This window comes from Homo sapiens, chromosome 2, assembly GCF_000001405.40.
Source record: "Homo sapiens chromosome 2, GRCh38.p14 Primary Assembly".
NCBI lineage: Eukaryota > Metazoa > Chordata > Mammalia > Primates > Hominidae > Homo > Homo sapiens.
This window is the reverse complement of record NC_000002.12, coordinates 113,878,171-113,893,963: the sequence shown is the minus strand read 5'-3', so window position 1 is coordinate 113,893,963 and position 15,793 is coordinate 113,878,171. Positions and strand designations below refer to the sequence as shown.

Sequence of the window (15,793 nt, the reverse complement as noted above, 5' to 3'; positions counted from 1 at the left end):
ATTGCTGAATTGTGGCCACAAGATGAACATACTCCTCTTTCACTGACACCTACAAGATATTTAAGCTTACATTTTAAGATTGCTAAGAAGTTGAAGTCAGTTAGCAAAATTCCTTAATCTGCTCCAGATATGAATATATCCAAGACTTTGACCATAGGGCTATATTAACCTCTGCTATCATAATCAGTGGAACTAATTTACCAATATTTTATTTACCAGGGGAAAAAAAAAGACATAAAAGGGAAAAGGAAATTCACAATGCAGCTCTGTAACCAAGCTACGATATAACAAGGAGTTAATAAGGAGCGCCCTCATTTGGCTTGAATGATGGAGAAACTTGAGTAAAAACATGCATTTAAAAAAAACCTTTAAGGCTGGGCGCGGTGGCTCACACCTGTAATCCCAGCACTTTGGGAGGTTGAGGCGGGTGGATCACGAGGTCAGGAGATGGAGACCATCCTGGTCAACATGGTGAAACCCCATCTCTACTAAAAAGAGAAAAATTAACTGGGTGTGGTGGCATGTGCCTGTAGTCCCAGCTACTCGGGAGGCTGAGGCAGGAGAATAGCTTGAACCTGGGAGGTGGAGGTTGCAGTGAGCCGAGATCGTGCCACTGCACTCCAGCCCAGCGACAGGGCAAGACTCCATCTCAAAACAAACAAACAAACAAACAAAAAAACAAAAAGCAAAAAACACATTTAAAAAACGATCCCTTCCACCGCCCAGAAAAAAAAAAACCTTAGGATGATCATACAAGTGTTACAATGTTTTTTTAAAAAATGTTTGTGAATGCCTTTTAAAGAAAATGCTTTTCTCACCACTAATAGCAGGTTTGAGTTCTGTTATTTAGTTTTCAAGCCACCAATGGGAATCTATGTGCCCCAACTGTATTTTACAATGCTTTCCAATACAGACCAAAAAAGTGTGTAGATAAGGGTATCAATGTGAATGAAGCATTTCTTTTCAAATTCTTTTCAAAATAAGTATTCTCTTTTATGACCTGAATCTAGGTGATTCATATGTTGAGTTTTGCTGGACGATCCCTAAAAGTTTTGGGCTTAAGTTTCAAGTTTCCTAACTCTTAACAGCTTTCCTATCTAAGACGATCAAGTTTTACAGATGGCCACTTTTTTTCAGCCACCTTTCCCCTAATTTATATAATGAATGAAATGAGCAACCTGATTCAGGTTATAACTTTTTACTTAAACTAAGTGAGTAATTGTAATTTAGAGACCTCAGAGCTGAATGCATTCTCTAAAGCATAAAAAAAATTAGACAAATTACAGGTGCACAATTTGCATTCGGGGACCACAGAATTTTGAAATGTAAAAGCTCCCTGTTAAGGCCATACTTAGAGATGTTTATCTCAGGGTCCTCAACCTCAAGGACTTATCCTCCATGTGCAAATAAAGCTGAAGGTGTAACTTCCCAGGAGGCACCACTGGAAACTTGTAAGACCAAAAAGGCTTTTGAGAACCAAAATAACTGAAACTCTAAAGGGGGAATTTCAGATTGTGACAAATGGTAAAAGAGAGTGAGGTGGCAAGGGGACTCCTAATCAGTTCCATTCAAATCATCAATGTGCAGTTAATAACCTCTCCTTATTGGAGAAACCAATGTAATAACTTAAAAATACACTATTGTGATAATCGTAATTTTAAAACAGAAATAGCCTAGGTTAAATTGAACCCCTCTTCCCGATCCTACTGGTCATTCAGCATGTTTTAAATTCAAGGTTGCCCTTTAGGAAAGGAGGTCACTTAAGGACAGTTTATCTCAATGAAACATCTTGTATACTAATTCGAAACTATTTCAAAAGGGGGAAAATGGAGATTAGAAAAGTAACATACTACTTGAGATGTTACCATATTATTTCTCAGGGCCACAATTATTTACACTATTTTTTTGAAAACGCAGTAATTTCTAAAGCATTAATTATGTAGCAATATTCGTCACTTTAACAAAACACATTTGAAAAGTCCTATCCTACTGACTCAGGCCAAATCTAATTTTAAAACTGAACCTAGACATAAAAATACTCACCAATTAGACTAAGAAGGGAGAAATAAAAAAAATTATTGGTTCAGAGAAATGAGACTGAATTAAGGAAAAACTTTTAAATAAAGTGTTCATCAAAAAAATACATAGAAGTTCCAAGGCTAGTGTTTTCCTAGGAGAATATTAAGAAGTTGGTGGTTTCTCTCTACCTAACTGGGATTTTAGAAACTGCCACACTAGCTAGTTATGAGAATGAAGATTAAAGAAATTTCACATAAAGAGTGAAGGACACACAATCTTTTAAGTAACAATAATGAAATCAATAATTATAATTAATAATAAAAAAAAAAGCCTGACAGTCCACCTCTTACTGACTTCCCCCTCAAAAAAAAAAAACTGGGAGTGTTCTGGGAATTGGAGAGATGTCATCAGCACAGAAAAAAAAACCACTTTCCTATATGTCATCCTGAAGCAGTGATTCTACATAAAAATAAGGGTAGTCTATTCTCTATGCAGTTATGAGTGTGGTACAACTCTCTAAAACGTCTATTAATACAAAATGAACGACCACACTTTAAAGCCACTCTACATTTTCGCAAACTACCCTACATATCTACGAGTAACTATTTGCAACTTAAACACCCTCCTATATACCTCTATACCTTCCTGCTTCCTTCAAGATACCATCACAGAATGAACGAATACAACTTAAATTAGTTTATTTTCCAGGGTGCTTCCTTTCCCCCACTCCATGAAACATAAGTACATTTTTTTAAGTCATATAAATGGACACCAAGCACCGGTAATTCAGTCTCTTTAAAACCTGCTTAAAAGTTCTAGTAAGATGTGCTCAGGTTGGAAACTAAAAACTACCTTATAAGGGTATAAAAGACTGAAAGCAGGAAGCGGCTTTGACAAAACTAAGGAAGTTGCAGCGCGCTTGCTCACTGGGGGACTTTTTTGAGGCTACAGAAGTAACACATGACATCTTTCTCCCTCGAATTAAAATGTGACTTGGTTCACCGGTTAAAACGCAGAGGGAGATGGAAATGACCAGGAGTCGAAAGGAGAAGGTGGGTGGTCAAATGAAAGCCCCACTGTAGGTTCCCATTTTCAGAGTCCGATTCTTCCCTTTCCCCACCCACACCCTGGGCAGAATGTTGTCACAGCGATCTTGTCAAACCTACCAGGAGCGCTTCTCTTTTCTAGCTCCCCTGCCAGGCCAGTCCCCGAGCTCGGCCCCTGGGTCCCCAAACCGACTGGCAAAAACGGGCGCGGAGGGAAAGGAAAGCCGGATGGGTCGGGCCCGGGGACCACCCCCAAGACGACCGTCCCCAGCGCCCTTTGGGCGGCGCTGCCCACCGTAGTGGGGGAAGGGCCGGGAGGGGTCGCGCGGAGAAAGCCGCTGGGAGGGTTGGGGGTTGAATCTCGGGCCCGCGCCCCCGCCCCAGTCCCAGGAGGGAGAAACGAGGGGACCCGCGAGGCCCTGGCTGCGGGCCCCACCCCTCGCTGGCCGGCGGGTCTAGGACTGACAGCCGGCGGCGGCACCTCGCCGCACCATTCATTTCCCGGCCTCCTCCCTCCCCCGCCATCTTCCTTCCTCCGCCTCAGTTTCCCCACCCCCGCCCGTAAGCCCCCTTACCCCGTGCCACAGTCCACCACACAGGCCGGCAGCCGTCCCGCCATCTTCCTCCTCGCCTGCTGCTGCTGCTGCCGCCGTCTGCTCCGTGCTGCTAGGGGCCAGAGATTGGCGGCGGGAGACAAGGGCTATCTGACCATCCACAGCTGGGCCGCCTTCACCGTCCGGGGGGTAGCCGGGAAGCCGAAGCAGTAGCAAGAAAGCAGCAGGCTCGGTCGGCGGCTATCACTTCCGCAACCCAGGCAGGCAGGCAGTCCCCGCCCTGCCCCGCCGCGGCCTCCTCCCCCTCTCTCTTCCCTCCTCCTCACTCCTGCCCCCACCCTACAACTTCTTCCCCTCACGCCGCCTTTCCCCGGGAAGCCAAGATGGCCGCCGGTGCCGACGCCCCGGCCAGGCCAGGCCCAGGCCCCCAGCGCTCCCCCTTCCGCTCCGAGCGGGAGGGGCTAGCGAGCATGCGCAATAAGGTACGTTCGCCTGCCTGGGCTCCGATCCTGAAGTTGGTGAAATCCACTGCGGGTTTTCCAGGAGTGTAGAGGCGGAGAAGTCTATCCGAGCTTCCAGTTCTGCTTCTGAAGCTGGAAGGGGCTTTTCGGTTGTAACCCTTGGGTTAGTTTCAGTTACTTCTTTGCTAGGTTGAGGAAAGGGTGGAAGCGCCTCCTGCAGCCACGAATATCCTCCAGTGCCTGAGAGAAAACGGCCTAATCGAAAACGTCCGCGGCATACATCCATTCTTAAAACTTGAGTGGCTGCTTTTCTGGGTGGAAAAGAGCGGTATCAGACAGGGTGAGCAGTCGGGGAACGGATGAACAAAGACTTGCACCGTGGCCCTGATGCCTTTGTTCCGAGTTCTATTCAGTTGTACTTGTGCGTTGTTACAGGACTTTAGAATGCAGCCCTGCCCCCCAACCCCCACCTCCCAGGGCCGACCTGTGCTCCTAGGAAGGCAAACCTCCCAGGAATATATTCTGCATAACTATACAAATAGGCCTTTATTCAAGGCTTTTGGATTATGACAAAGATTACCCTCAGGAGTAGTAAGATTCTACTAGCAGGATAATAGAAAGGATTAAGGCTCCCCTCCAAAGAAAATTTTTTTAAGTTAGAAACGGAGGCGAGCCGCAGTGGGTCATGCCTGTAATTTCAATGCTTTGGAAGGCCGAGGTGGGAGGATAGGATAGCTTGAGGCTAGGAGTTCGAGACCAGCCTGGGCAACATGGGGAGACCCCCCCCCATCCCTCCAAAAAAGAAAAGAAAACTGGAAAGCCTTAAAGAAACCTTTCAAACTTTAGTGTGTATCAGAATTACCTGAAAGGTTTGTTAAAACAGATTGCTGGGCCATACCCCCAGAATTCTCTGACTGGGCTATCGGAAATAATGCCTGAGAATGTGCATATCTAATAAGTTCCTAGTTCCACTTTAGGACCCTAGAAGGTTAGTATCTTTCCTCTCTACCAGGCTTATCTTAGGATGAACCGTTCGGGGTTTGCTGATGTGAAGCTAAAACAAAAATATTCTTTAAAAGGAGGGATGTCTTATTCAGTCCATAAGATCATCTAATGTATTAAGCTGGCTTGGGGGATGAATCGGGTGTTTCATTCATTCATTTGACAGGTAAGCATTGCTTACCTACTCTATTATGACGGGGTCTGTGCTGACTCCGAATATTCGGTGGGATGCAAAATAGTTAAGTGCTCTTGTAGAGTTTACAGATTAGCGGAAAACAGACAAATTGTGTTAAGAGCAATAGAAAGAAGAGAGCGGAGGACTCTGAGAAATGAAGGCGAGGAGTGGGAGAATGAGAGGAAGGTGGAAGGCAGGTAAGGAGTCTGACCAGCTGGTATTTAAAAGCTAAGATGGGGGGAAGAGTCTCCCAGGAGAGTGAACAGCAAGTGTCAAGGACCTGAGGCAGGAACAAGCTTGGCTTCTTCCACAAATTGAAAGAAGATCCATATGAAAGAGTCAGAGAAGATGCAATGGGAGATGAAGACTGAGAGATAAGGAAGAGTGAAACAGTGCAAGAATTTGTAGACTGCTCTAAGCATTTTAAAGTTTATCTTAAAAGCAGCTTGATAAATTAGATTTATGGTAATTAGTTTAAAAATAAAAATAAAGCAACTTGAAAGGATTTAGGCAAGAAAAAGTTGTGTCTGCTTTGTAGAGAATGGCTCCAGCAGAGTCCAGATTGAATCATACATTGTATGATATTCTGTGTTCCGGAGTTCGCAGATAGAAGTATGTGAGGGCCAGCATCCAAATGGAATCAGGTATGTGCAGAGGAGACTCACTAAAGGGCATCATCATCAATTAGTGCCCAGCATGTCTGCAGCTATTCACGAGAGAAGGCTTTTTTTAGAGGTTGTTTTCAGAGAAGTCAAACAACTGGTTGTCTCAGATTCGTTGTCGTTGGTTTCTCCACTACATTTTAGAAGATGCTAGATGGGGACTCTTTGCTGCCGCTTCTACTACCTGGTAATTAAAGTCTTTTGAGGAAGCATATGCTTGAAGATTGGCTCTGACAGAAAAGACAGATGTGGTTTAGTAGGGGTAGAATAAATGGTTGTTTCCAGCAGTTACAAGTAGTAAGTCAGGAGTGAAGAGATCCTACCAAAGAAGTTTCGAGAGCAGAGGTTAGTGCCCTCGGTCACTTGGGCAGCCCATGCCGGTGGCCCTCAAGGTAGCTGCCCACACTCTGGCCTTGCACAGTTGTCATGGAAGTAGTTAACTCAAGCAGGGTTGGAAACTAGTGCTTCGAGGTCTAGGCAGGTACTGTTATGAGTGAAGGGGGCCATGAGGAGGGTATGGCAATGTGAGAGCCCACAACCCAACAGAAGGCAACAGACAACTGTTGCCATGTGGAAATACAGCCCTGGTATTGCCAGAGCCTTTTTTCTTCCCCAAGAGAAATCTGAAATCTGCATTTTTATCTTTGGTAACTGTAATGGTTTGAATGTGTTCCCCAAAGTTCATGTGTGAGAAATATAATTTCCAGTGCAACAGTGCTGAGAGGTGGGAGCTTTAAGAGGTGATTAGGCCAGGAGGACACTGTCTTCATGAATGAATCACAGGACTGGGTGCCTGATAAAAAGGAGTTTGCCCCCGCTTCCCTCTCTCTCTTTTGCCCATGTGATGCCTTCCACCATGTTTTGACACAGCAGGGACGCCTTCACGAGATGATGGCCCTTTGATCTTGGACTTCCCAGCCTCTAAAACTATGAAAAATAATTTGTGTTCTCTATAAAGTACCCAGTCTCTGATATTCTGTAAGCAGCACAAACTAGGCTAAGATAGTAACTAATTTTTTTCTGCATGTCATATCTGACCTGTGGTCTGCCAGTTTGCATCTTTTGATTTCGGAAGCTACATGTGGTTCAGTAGTTTGCTGCCTTCAAATATGAAGCTCATGTCAGTGCTAAGTACTGTCTCTCATTTCATAGGCATGAGGAAACTGTCACAGTCTCACATAGTCAAGACTGTCCTGTGTTTGTACAGGCAGTAACTGTTAGAAGCATTTGGAAGCTTTCAGTGCTTGTTGGAAATGTCATTGGTGCTCATTCCTCATAATCTTGTCTACCCAAACACTTTGCTTGCTTAAGATCCCTTCTACTTCCTGCTTGCTGCATGCCAAATTGGTCAGCCTCTCTGCTACTGTGGTGGCCCAGCCTTCCTCAGCTGCACATAGCCTTCAGTCACACATCCGGCCAAAGCATTTCTGACCACCCTGTTTGCATATGCACCCACTCCCTGCTTACTCATCTCCAAACACAGAAGCAAAGGATGTCAGAGACAGTTCATCCTTCATTTCATATTTGTCCCTAATAGCACCTCAATTTCCTTTCAGTTCAGGTCAACCCGGTCCTTGGTTCTTACCCATTTCCAAACCTGTTCCGAAACTTTCAAGCATTTGTGAGTCTTGCAGTATCCTTCTCCTGTGGCTCAAGTTAGCCACAGCAAGTTCCCATTACTTGCATCAAATTTGAGAAGCCTTAGTGGTACAGAAGCCCATAGAGTTTAAGTGAGTTTTCCCAATATCTTTTTCTTTTTTTTTTTGAGATGGAATCTTGCTCTGTCGCCCAGGCTGGAGTGCAGTGTAGTGCGATCTCGGCTCACTGCAAGCTCTGCCTCCTGGGTTCATGCCATTCTCCTACCTCAGCCTCCTGAGTAGCTGGGACTACAGGCGCCCGCCACCATACCCGGCTAATTTTTTTTTTTTTTTTTTGTATTTTTTGTAGAGACGGGGTTTCACTGTGTTAGCCAGGATGGTCTCAATCTCCTGACCTCGTGATCTGCCCGCCTCGGCCTCCCAAAGTGCTGGGATTACAGGTGTGAGCCACCACTCCCGGCCCCCAATATGTTAAAGAAACTAAGGAACAGAAGTCCAAGTCAAAATCCAGTTCTTACGCCTTTTGGGGGGCTCTTTAATTGTAACGACAAATTAGCAAATTGTCTTTGGATCTTAAAAAGTGTCCAGGAAATTTATGTCACTCAATTTCCATTATTTTAAGATGAGAAATAGTATTTTAAAAATCAACTTAGGTACGTACTACAGGGCTGACTGTTTGCAAATTGGCAGATGAATCAGATTCACAGAGAGCCTTAATTCAGAGCAGGTAAGTTGTAAAAGTACCCCAAGCAGCCTAGTGGTCAGAGGGGAGGGACTGTGAAAACTGTCTTCTCTCTTCTCAAGTTGTGTGATCTTAGCAACTAACTTCTTATGTAGAGAGAGCACTGATTTTAGACTCAAGAGACTTGAATTGAGTATGAACTCTTTCACTTACTCTGTTTCTTCATCTATAAAATTCACAGGAATATTTAACCTATAGGGTTGTTGTAAAGCTTGAATTTGGTAAGAAGCCTATTATAAATTACAGAGTGACCTTATTATGGACAGATCAAGAGGAATATGGTTTAATTATAAAGTAATCACTGACTTAGTACTTAAACATACAAAAGGAAACACACACTGGTCCTCCTCTTCACAGATGTTATCTTGGGGCCCATGTGCCTACTCTTTTAATGCTACCATTGTGCAAAATATTTTTAGAAGCTCTTCTTTAGACTTGCCTTCAAAGCCTACAGCACATTGTTTTAAACATCTTCACTGGTGGCAGATCTTGCCCTCTGTGAGTAGATTTCATTTTGAGGATTAGCCAAAAGTCATTTCTTCAGAGCCAAGTCCAGTAAACAAATGGCTTATCAACTAGGGTTGTTTTTTATCAAAAGTTTTATGTGACTATAAGTAAAACTGGTTTTCTTATGTGACTTATAAACTGCCTCTAGATGAAGTTCTAGATTATTTTATTCAGTGGCTACATCCCTGGGGGCTATAGACTGAATGTCTATGTTCGCTCACTCTCCAACCAATTTGTGTGTTGAAAATTTAACCCCCAGGGTGATGGTATTAGGAAGTGGGGCCTTTGGAAAGTGATTAGGTCATGAGGGCAGACCCCCACATGAATGGGATTAGTTCTCTTTTAAAAGAGACCTCAAAAAACTGCCTCACCCTTTCCACCATGTGAGGACACAAGAAGACAGCCATCTATCAAATGGAAAGCAGCCCTTCACCAAAGGTGGATCTGCTCACATCTTGATCTTGGACTTCTCAGCTTGCAGAACTATGAGAAATAAATTTATATTGTGTTTGATTGTTTGTTTTTTGAGGTGGAGTCTCACTTGTCCCCCAGGCTGGAGTGCAGTGGCTCAATCTTGGCTCACTGCAACCTCTGCCTTCCGGGTTCAAGCAATTCTCCTGCCTCAGCCTCCCGAGTAGCTGGGACAACAGGCGCATGCCACGAAGCCCTGCTAATTTTTGTATTTTTGGTAGAGACAAGGTTTCACCATGTTGACCAGGCTGGTCTCAAACTCCTGAGCTCAAGTGATGTGCCTGCCTCGGCCTCCCAAAGTGCTGGGATTACAAGCGTGAGCCACCACACCCGGCCAAATTTCTATTTTTTACAAAGCCTAAATTTGTGTTGTTTATAAATAAATTGTTTATGGATAAGGGATTGAATATCCCTTATCTAAAATGCTTAGGACTACAGATATTTAAGATTTTGGATTTTTTCAGATTTGGGAGTATGCACATATACAAAATGAAACATCTTGGGGATGAGACCCATGGGTAAACACAAAATTCATTTATATTTCATATATGCCTTATATGCATAGCCTGAAGGTAATTTTATACAATATTTTTAATTTGTGCATGAAACAAAGTTTGTATTTACGTGTATTTACATGTAGAATTTTCCATTTGTGGTGTCATGTCAGTGTTCAGAAGGTTTCAGATTTTGGAACGTTTTGGATTTTGGATTTTCAGATTAGGGATGCTCCACTAGGGATGCTTTGTTATAGCAGCCTGAAGAAGCCAAGATGCTGGGATAAAAATAGTCATTATATGCTTGATTTCATTGAAAATATATTTCTTTTTTCGTTTTTTTTTTTGAGACAGAGTCTTGCCCTGTCGCCCAGGCTGGAGTGCAGTGGCGTTTTCTCGGCTCACTGCAAGCTCCACCTCCTGGATTCAAGCGATTCTCCTGCCTCAGCCTCTCAAGTAGCTGGGATTATAGACGTGTACCACCACACCCGGCTAATTTTTGTATTTTTAGTAGAGATGGGGTTTCACCATGTTGGCCAGGATGGTCTTGAACTCCTGACCTCAAATGATCCACCCGCCTCGGCTTCCCAAAGTGCTGAGATTACAGGCGTGAGCCACCGCACCCGGCCTGAAAATATATCTCAGATAATATCTGTACAACATTTGAAATGAGGTGAGATTCTGTGGGATAAGATCCTAATCCCCTCACTGCCTGTAAAGAATGAATAGTTTAATTAAATTTTGACTCTAATTTAAAGAAAAGTTACGCCCTGTCTGCCCCCACCCCGCCCCCCCAAACACACACACACACACTTGCGCAAACATATACACCTTTTCTTATATATAAAAACAGATTCTAGATGGATGACAAATCTCCAGTATACAATAAAATCCATACTCCTTATTGGGACCTACAAAGCCCTCCATGTTCTGGTGCCCACCTCAGTGTTCAGCTTGTCTCATCTTCACCCTGTTCCATGAAGCCACATTAACCTTCTTGTTGCTGTTCACACCCACCAGGCTGTTCCCACCTGTGTCCACTCCCCGGACTTCTCCACCAGTCATCAATTAATCCTGAATCACTTGCCTCCTCAGAGAAGCCTTTCCTGACCTGCCAGTGTAAAGTAGCCTGTCTCACTGTCTTCCCCCGTCACCAAGTATTAATTATCTGGGGGAAATGTCTTATTTACTTATTGGTTTGTTTGTTTCTTATCAACTAGGGTTGTCTCTCCCAGTTAGAAAATACTCTCACCAGAGTTTGAAGAGAGCCTGACGTATAATAAGTGCTCAATAAATATCTGTTGAGAGAATAAATGAATCAAATAACAAAAATAAAACTATAAATTATAAGAAATTAGAAGGGAATTTAGAAAAAAATGTTTATATACTCTGAAGGTGGGGAGGACTTTCTGAAGTAAAAGAAGAAACCCATAGCCATTAATGGGAAGATTTGGTTACATGAACAATTAAATTCCTACTAAGTTACATTTTTAAATTATAGATTAGAAGAAGATATTTTAAAATAGACAAAATATCCAGAGCTGTATGGAAAATGAACATGCTGATCACTGGTGGAGATGTGAATTGCCACACCCTTCTGGAAAGTTATGTAGCAGTATCTGCTAAAACTTAATATTCACATATATTAGACTTAGGAATTTCATTTTGTTGAATTCTAAAGACATAAAAATACTGATGTCGGAGAAATCGTGATTCTGAAAGATTTTAAAATCAGAAGATTTAGAAATACATTGTTTGTTCCCAGTGCCACTATGGCCAGGTAAATCTCAGGGGCTTTCTTAGCCCAGAAGGCAAGGCTGGATCTTGAGGGGCAACTAGCAATCTCCTCCATCTGTGTGTATTAACCTAGAGAGTTATGGAGCAGAGATTGACACTTACTCCTTCTTCCTTAGTAACAATGCCTGGATTTTATTCAGATGCTGTGTACCCAGCCAAAAGACTACATTTCTCAATCTCCATTGTAGCTGGATGTGGCTGTGTGATCAAGTTATGACCAATGAGATATAAGTAGAAGTAGCTTGGCCAGACACAGTGGCTCACACCTGTAATCCCAGCCCTTTGGGAGGCCAAAGCAGGAGGATCACTTGCACTCAGGAGTTGGAAACTGCAGACCAGCCTGGAGAACACAGTGACACCTTGTCTCTACACAAAATGAAAAAGTTAGCAGGGTATGGTGGCATGTGCCTGTGGTCCCAGCTACTTCCAGCTACTTGGGAGGCTAAAATGGAAGGATCGCTTGAGCCTGGGAGATTGAGGCCTCAGTGAGCCATGATCATGCCACTGTACTCCAGCCTGGGTGACAAGAGCAAGACCCTGTCTCTCAAAAAAAAAAAAACGCGGCTGGGTGGAACATCTGGAAAACATCTTTAAAGAACGCTGACTCAATCAGGAGGAGCACCATTTTGTTTCTTGCCCTCTGCCCTTCCTGCCTGAAACAGGTAAGGTGACTACTGCTCTTTGGCCATTATGGGTGACAAACTGAACTTGAGACTGGAAGCCATGTCCTATAAAAGATAAATAGGGCCAGGCGCGGTGGCTCACGCCTCTAATCCCAGCACTTTGGGAGGCCGAGATGAGTGGATCACGAGGTCAGGAGATCGAGACCATCCTGGCTAACACGGTGTAAACCTCGTCTCTATTAAAAATAACAAAAAAATTAGCCGGGCGTGGTGGCGGGCGCCTGTAGTCCCAGCTACTCCGGAGGCTGAGGCAGGAGAATGGTGTGAACCCGGGAGGCGAAGCTTGCAGTGAGCCCAGATCGCACCACTGCACTCCAGCCTGGGCTACAGAGCAAGACTCCGTCTCAAAAAAAAAAAAAAAAAAGATAAATAGAAGGAGCCCAGGTACCTTGTGACACTGGAGTGTCATATTAGCCCTGGACTACCCACCTCCAGACTTGTTTTATATGACAGAAAAATAAATCCTTAGTGTTTAAGCCAGTATAATTTGGCATTTTTGGTTATATGCAACTGAATCGAATACTAATTGATAATACCATGTTGTAATGTTAAATATAAAAGGTAAGTTGCTAAGTAAAGCCAGAAGAATATAAACTCAAACGTGTATAGGTGATAGGCCAGTAATACAGAAAGGTGGATGAGTGGCAGTATAAATAGTAGGGATGCAGAGGACATGTTGAATTGGAAAGCCCCTGCAACATTAATAATATTACCATGTGGCCATGTGGATTGAGATCTTCCAGTTTTTCATGTTAAATTTCCCCAGTGTTCTGCAAACAAAACATTTTCCCAGCTGTATCTACATTGCAGCCTATCAGTTTGTGACTTTTGATTTGTACTATGGTCTAATATTTAGAAAAATGGAATAAAAGGGAGAAGGATGGAAGGGAGAAAAGAAGGAAGGGTGGACCAGCACTTCGGGAGGCTGAGGTGGCTGGATTATGAGGTCAGGAGTTTGAGACCAGCCTGGACAATGTGGTGAAACCCCATCTCCACTAAAAATACAAAAATTAGCTGGGCATGGTGGCATATGCCTGTAATCCCAGCTACTCGGGAGGCTGAGGCAGGAGAATCGCTTGAACTCGGGAAGCGGAGGTTGCAGTCAGCCAAGATTGTGCCACTGCACTCCAGCCTGGGTGACAGAGCGAGACTCCATCTCAAAAAAAAAAAAAAAAAGTTATTGTCTGCTGTGTGTTAAACTGGGAGTCTAATGTATAAACATGTGACCTTGCCACTTTGGAGAAATTCCAGGAAATGGTACAAATGGTACCTTGATTTTTTTTTTTTCTTTTTTCCTTTTGAGACAGAGTCTCTTGCTCTGTCACCCAGGCTGGAGCGCAATGGCACAATCTTGGCTGACTGCAACCTCCACTTCCCAAGTTCAAGCGATTCTCCTGCCTCAGCCCCCCGAGCAGCTGGTATTACAGGCATATGCCACCCCACCCAGCTAATTTTTGTATTTTTAGTAGAGACGGGGTTTCACCACGTTGTCCAGGCTGGTCTTGAACTCCTGACCTCATGATCCACCCACCTTGGCCTCCCAAAGTGCTGGGATTACAGGCATGAGCCACCGCGCCCGCCACCTTGATTATTGTTTAAATAAAAGATGAATAAAAGTACATTCTTATTTTTGATTATAATGTGGCCCAATGTATACATTTCACTTAGTGTAGCACATCACATTGTTCTTACTAAAACTATTTCTAGTTTTACACCAGCTCAGATTTTTAAATATTCATTGCTTTTTCCTACTTCTGTCTCAGGCATTGCCATTCTCTTCAAAACATATTTGAAAAATGTCCAGGCTTCTCATCTCTGTGTAAAACTGTTCAGTTTGTTCCAGTGTGACGAGAAGAAATTGGACTGAGCATACTTTTTTGTGAGACATCCATTTTCTTCCTTTGATGAATTTGACAACTTGTGACAATTCTCACATTTTGGAACAAGTCTCCTAATTATAGAAGAAGCTAATAATGATAATATAAGAAATTATAAATTATTTGACTGTTTTCAATTTATCCAAAAGGAAGTTTATCAAACTTTCTCCTCCTACTTTCTGCTCCACCCCACCCCTCAGCCCCGATGCACACGCTGTGCCGTCACAGCACTTATGCCTAGAGAATTATGATCCTTAAATAGCAGTCAACTCTTCTTAAATAGCAGTCAGTTGTTCTAGCAGTGTATCAGTTAGACATTCTAGAATATTTCACAAAATAAGAATTTTGCAGAAGGAACATTATAGCTCCCTAGGTCTAGCAAATGAGGGAACTAGGGTACAGAGAAATTAAGTGACTTAAGATCTCACAACAAACTAGTGGAGTACTTCTACTTAAATATATCTCTAGATACTCATAGAAGGTAAAAGCTACATTGAAAATTCACACAACTCTTCTGGAAAGTGGCAAATTCAATGATGCTGTAAAGTCTGGCATAATATTCTAGTGGTCAAGACACTTTGGGTAGTAAATGAGAGAGGCCAAATTCAAATCAGGCTAAGAATAAAAAGAAATGTTTTCTTTCAAGTGGGTGGAGCTCAAGTAAGTGTAAATTCCAGGGGATAAATTGGATTCAGGCATAGCTGGATGCAAAGGCTCAAAAATGTCATCAGAATCTGCCTCTTTTTCTCTCTTGGTGTTGCTTGCCACTGTGTTGTCCTCATTCTCAGGTAGCTTGACTCACACAGCTACAACAATGGCTTATATCCTAATGGTTGATCAGCCACAGGGCAGAGTACACTTTTCCTCAGTGGTCCAAGCAAAAATCCTGGGGCTCACTCTTACTGGCTGACTTGGATCAGGTGTCCTTCTGGAGCACAACACAGTGACTCCAGGTGGCCAAGCTTGAATCTCATGCCACATCCCTACCACCAGCTCCACTAAAAAGAACCACATGGACAGAAGGGGAGGAGTGGTTACAAAGGGAAAAATAAATGTTTATTACCCAGGGAGGGATAATGAATGTAAGGCAAGCAAAAACGGGAAAAAAAAAAGTCCATTAAAAATTCAATTTACACTATTTACACTCACATTGCACTGTAAACTGATGCAATTAAGAGTCTCATTTCTTGCTTGGTGGTTAGGGATTTATATTTCATTAAAAAAAATACTACCAACATTAAGTAAGGGGATACTTGAAGAAAACAAAGATATGCGATGAAGAAAACTGGGCTTTGCAAAAAAAAAAAAAAAAAAGATGTACTGTGAGTATGTGTGTGTTTATTATATTGTTAGTCCATAAATGAACACAAAGGCAAATGAAAAATAAAAACACTGGACATCTGCCAAACATTACATTAATCTCAATGTTTGATGATTCCATCAGTCCTGCACTGGGGAAAGCAGTCATTATGTTTTTGTGGTAGCATTTGTTTATTTTGGTTTCCATATCATCTCAAATGCTGATGAGCTTGTGCTAGCTACGTGTACTAGTATTTTATTGAAAGGCATATAATTATTTAGTTCATAAAGAGAAGTAGTCTCATACACGGCCAATTCTTTATCATAACTAGCATTCTCTTCATTTGTCCATTCATTCATTCGTTTATATTAAGTGCCAGTTAGGAACTAGGAACAAGGCTGGACT

The 15,793-nt window shown here is 42.9% G+C and overlaps 1 protein-coding gene and 2 long non-coding RNA genes across 5 annotated transcripts in view, besides 9 other annotated features; 2 read left to right on the top strand and 1 right to left on the bottom strand.

The window, feature by feature from the left end:
• Positions 1-4,030, bottom strand: part of ACTR3 (actin related protein 3) — a 72,663-nt gene extending 68,633 nt beyond the window's left edge. The window contains exon 1 of one of the 3 annotated variants that reach the window (NR_102318.1): positions 3,641-4,030. Coding sequence is in view for 1 of the 3 variants with exons in the window: in NM_005721.5 (NP_005712.1) it covers positions 3,641-3,684 (44 nt within the window). In the remaining 2 variants the exon portion in view is untranslated. Of the gene's footprint in view, positions 1-3,185; positions 3,367-3,640 lie in introns of those variants that run through there. The other 2 variants (NM_005721.5, NM_001277140.1) reach the window with 2 other exon arrangements.
• Positions 2,935-3,114: an enhancer, noted in NCBI's record as "active region_16433". NCBI's record gives its function as "activates an Ori minimal core promoter by ATAC-STARR-seq in GM12878 lymphoblastoid cells {active_cell/tissue: GM12878}" and the evidence as "EXISTENCE:reporter gene assay evidence [ECO:0000049][PMID:35858748]".
• The window catches only part of ACTR3-AS1 (ACTR3 antisense RNA 1), a 59,810-nt gene continuing 46,988 nt past the window's right edge, over positions 2,972-15,793 (top strand). Inside the window, exon 1 of the long non-coding RNA NR_110174.1 lies at positions 2,972-3,071. This is a non-coding gene — a long non-coding RNA (ACTR3 antisense RNA 1). The remainder of the gene's footprint in view (positions 3,072-15,793) is intronic.
• Positions 3,165-3,214: an enhancer, noted in NCBI's record as "active region_16432". NCBI's record gives its function as "activates an Ori minimal core promoter by ATAC-STARR-seq in GM12878 lymphoblastoid cells {active_cell/tissue: GM12878}" and the evidence as "EXISTENCE:reporter gene assay evidence [ECO:0000049][PMID:35858748]".
• Positions 3,297-3,952: an enhancer, noted in NCBI's record as "H3K27ac hESC enhancer chr2:114647589-114648244 (GRCh37/hg19 assembly coordinates)". NCBI's record gives its function as "activates a minimal SCP1, AML or CMV promoter by ChIP-STARR-seq in naive H9 embryonic stem cells {active_cell/tissue: H9 hESC(naive)}" and the evidence as "EXISTENCE:reporter gene assay evidence [ECO:0000049][PMID:30033119]".
• Positions 3,345-3,604: a silencer, noted in NCBI's record as "silent region_11889". NCBI's record gives its function as "represses an Ori minimal core promoter by ATAC-STARR-seq in GM12878 lymphoblastoid cells {active_cell/tissue: GM12878}" and the evidence as "EXISTENCE:reporter gene assay evidence [ECO:0000049][PMID:35858748]".
• Positions 3,845-3,904: a silencer, noted in NCBI's record as "silent region_11888". NCBI's record gives its function as "represses an Ori minimal core promoter by ATAC-STARR-seq in GM12878 lymphoblastoid cells {active_cell/tissue: GM12878}" and the evidence as "EXISTENCE:reporter gene assay evidence [ECO:0000049][PMID:35858748]".
• Positions 3,985-4,074: an enhancer, noted in NCBI's record as "active region_16431". NCBI's record gives its function as "activates an Ori minimal core promoter by ATAC-STARR-seq in GM12878 lymphoblastoid cells {active_cell/tissue: GM12878}" and the evidence as "EXISTENCE:reporter gene assay evidence [ECO:0000049][PMID:35858748]".
• Positions 4,195-4,504: an enhancer, noted in NCBI's record as "active region_16430". NCBI's record gives its function as "activates an Ori minimal core promoter by ATAC-STARR-seq in GM12878 lymphoblastoid cells {active_cell/tissue: GM12878}" and the evidence as "EXISTENCE:reporter gene assay evidence [ECO:0000049][PMID:35858748]".
• LOC124906071 (uncharacterized) lies at positions 4,197-15,501 on the top strand. The gene is made up of 3 exons (XR_007087205.1): positions 4,197-5,901; positions 11,645-12,190; positions 13,975-15,501. It is a non-coding gene; the product is annotated as an uncharacterized LOC124906071 (long non-coding RNA).
• Positions 7,193-7,302: an enhancer, noted in NCBI's record as "active region_16429". NCBI's record gives its function as "activates an Ori minimal core promoter by ATAC-STARR-seq in GM12878 lymphoblastoid cells {active_cell/tissue: GM12878}" and the evidence as "EXISTENCE:reporter gene assay evidence [ECO:0000049][PMID:35858748]".
• Positions 7,313-7,362: an enhancer, noted in NCBI's record as "active region_16428". NCBI's record gives its function as "activates an Ori minimal core promoter by ATAC-STARR-seq in GM12878 lymphoblastoid cells {active_cell/tissue: GM12878}" and the evidence as "EXISTENCE:reporter gene assay evidence [ECO:0000049][PMID:35858748]".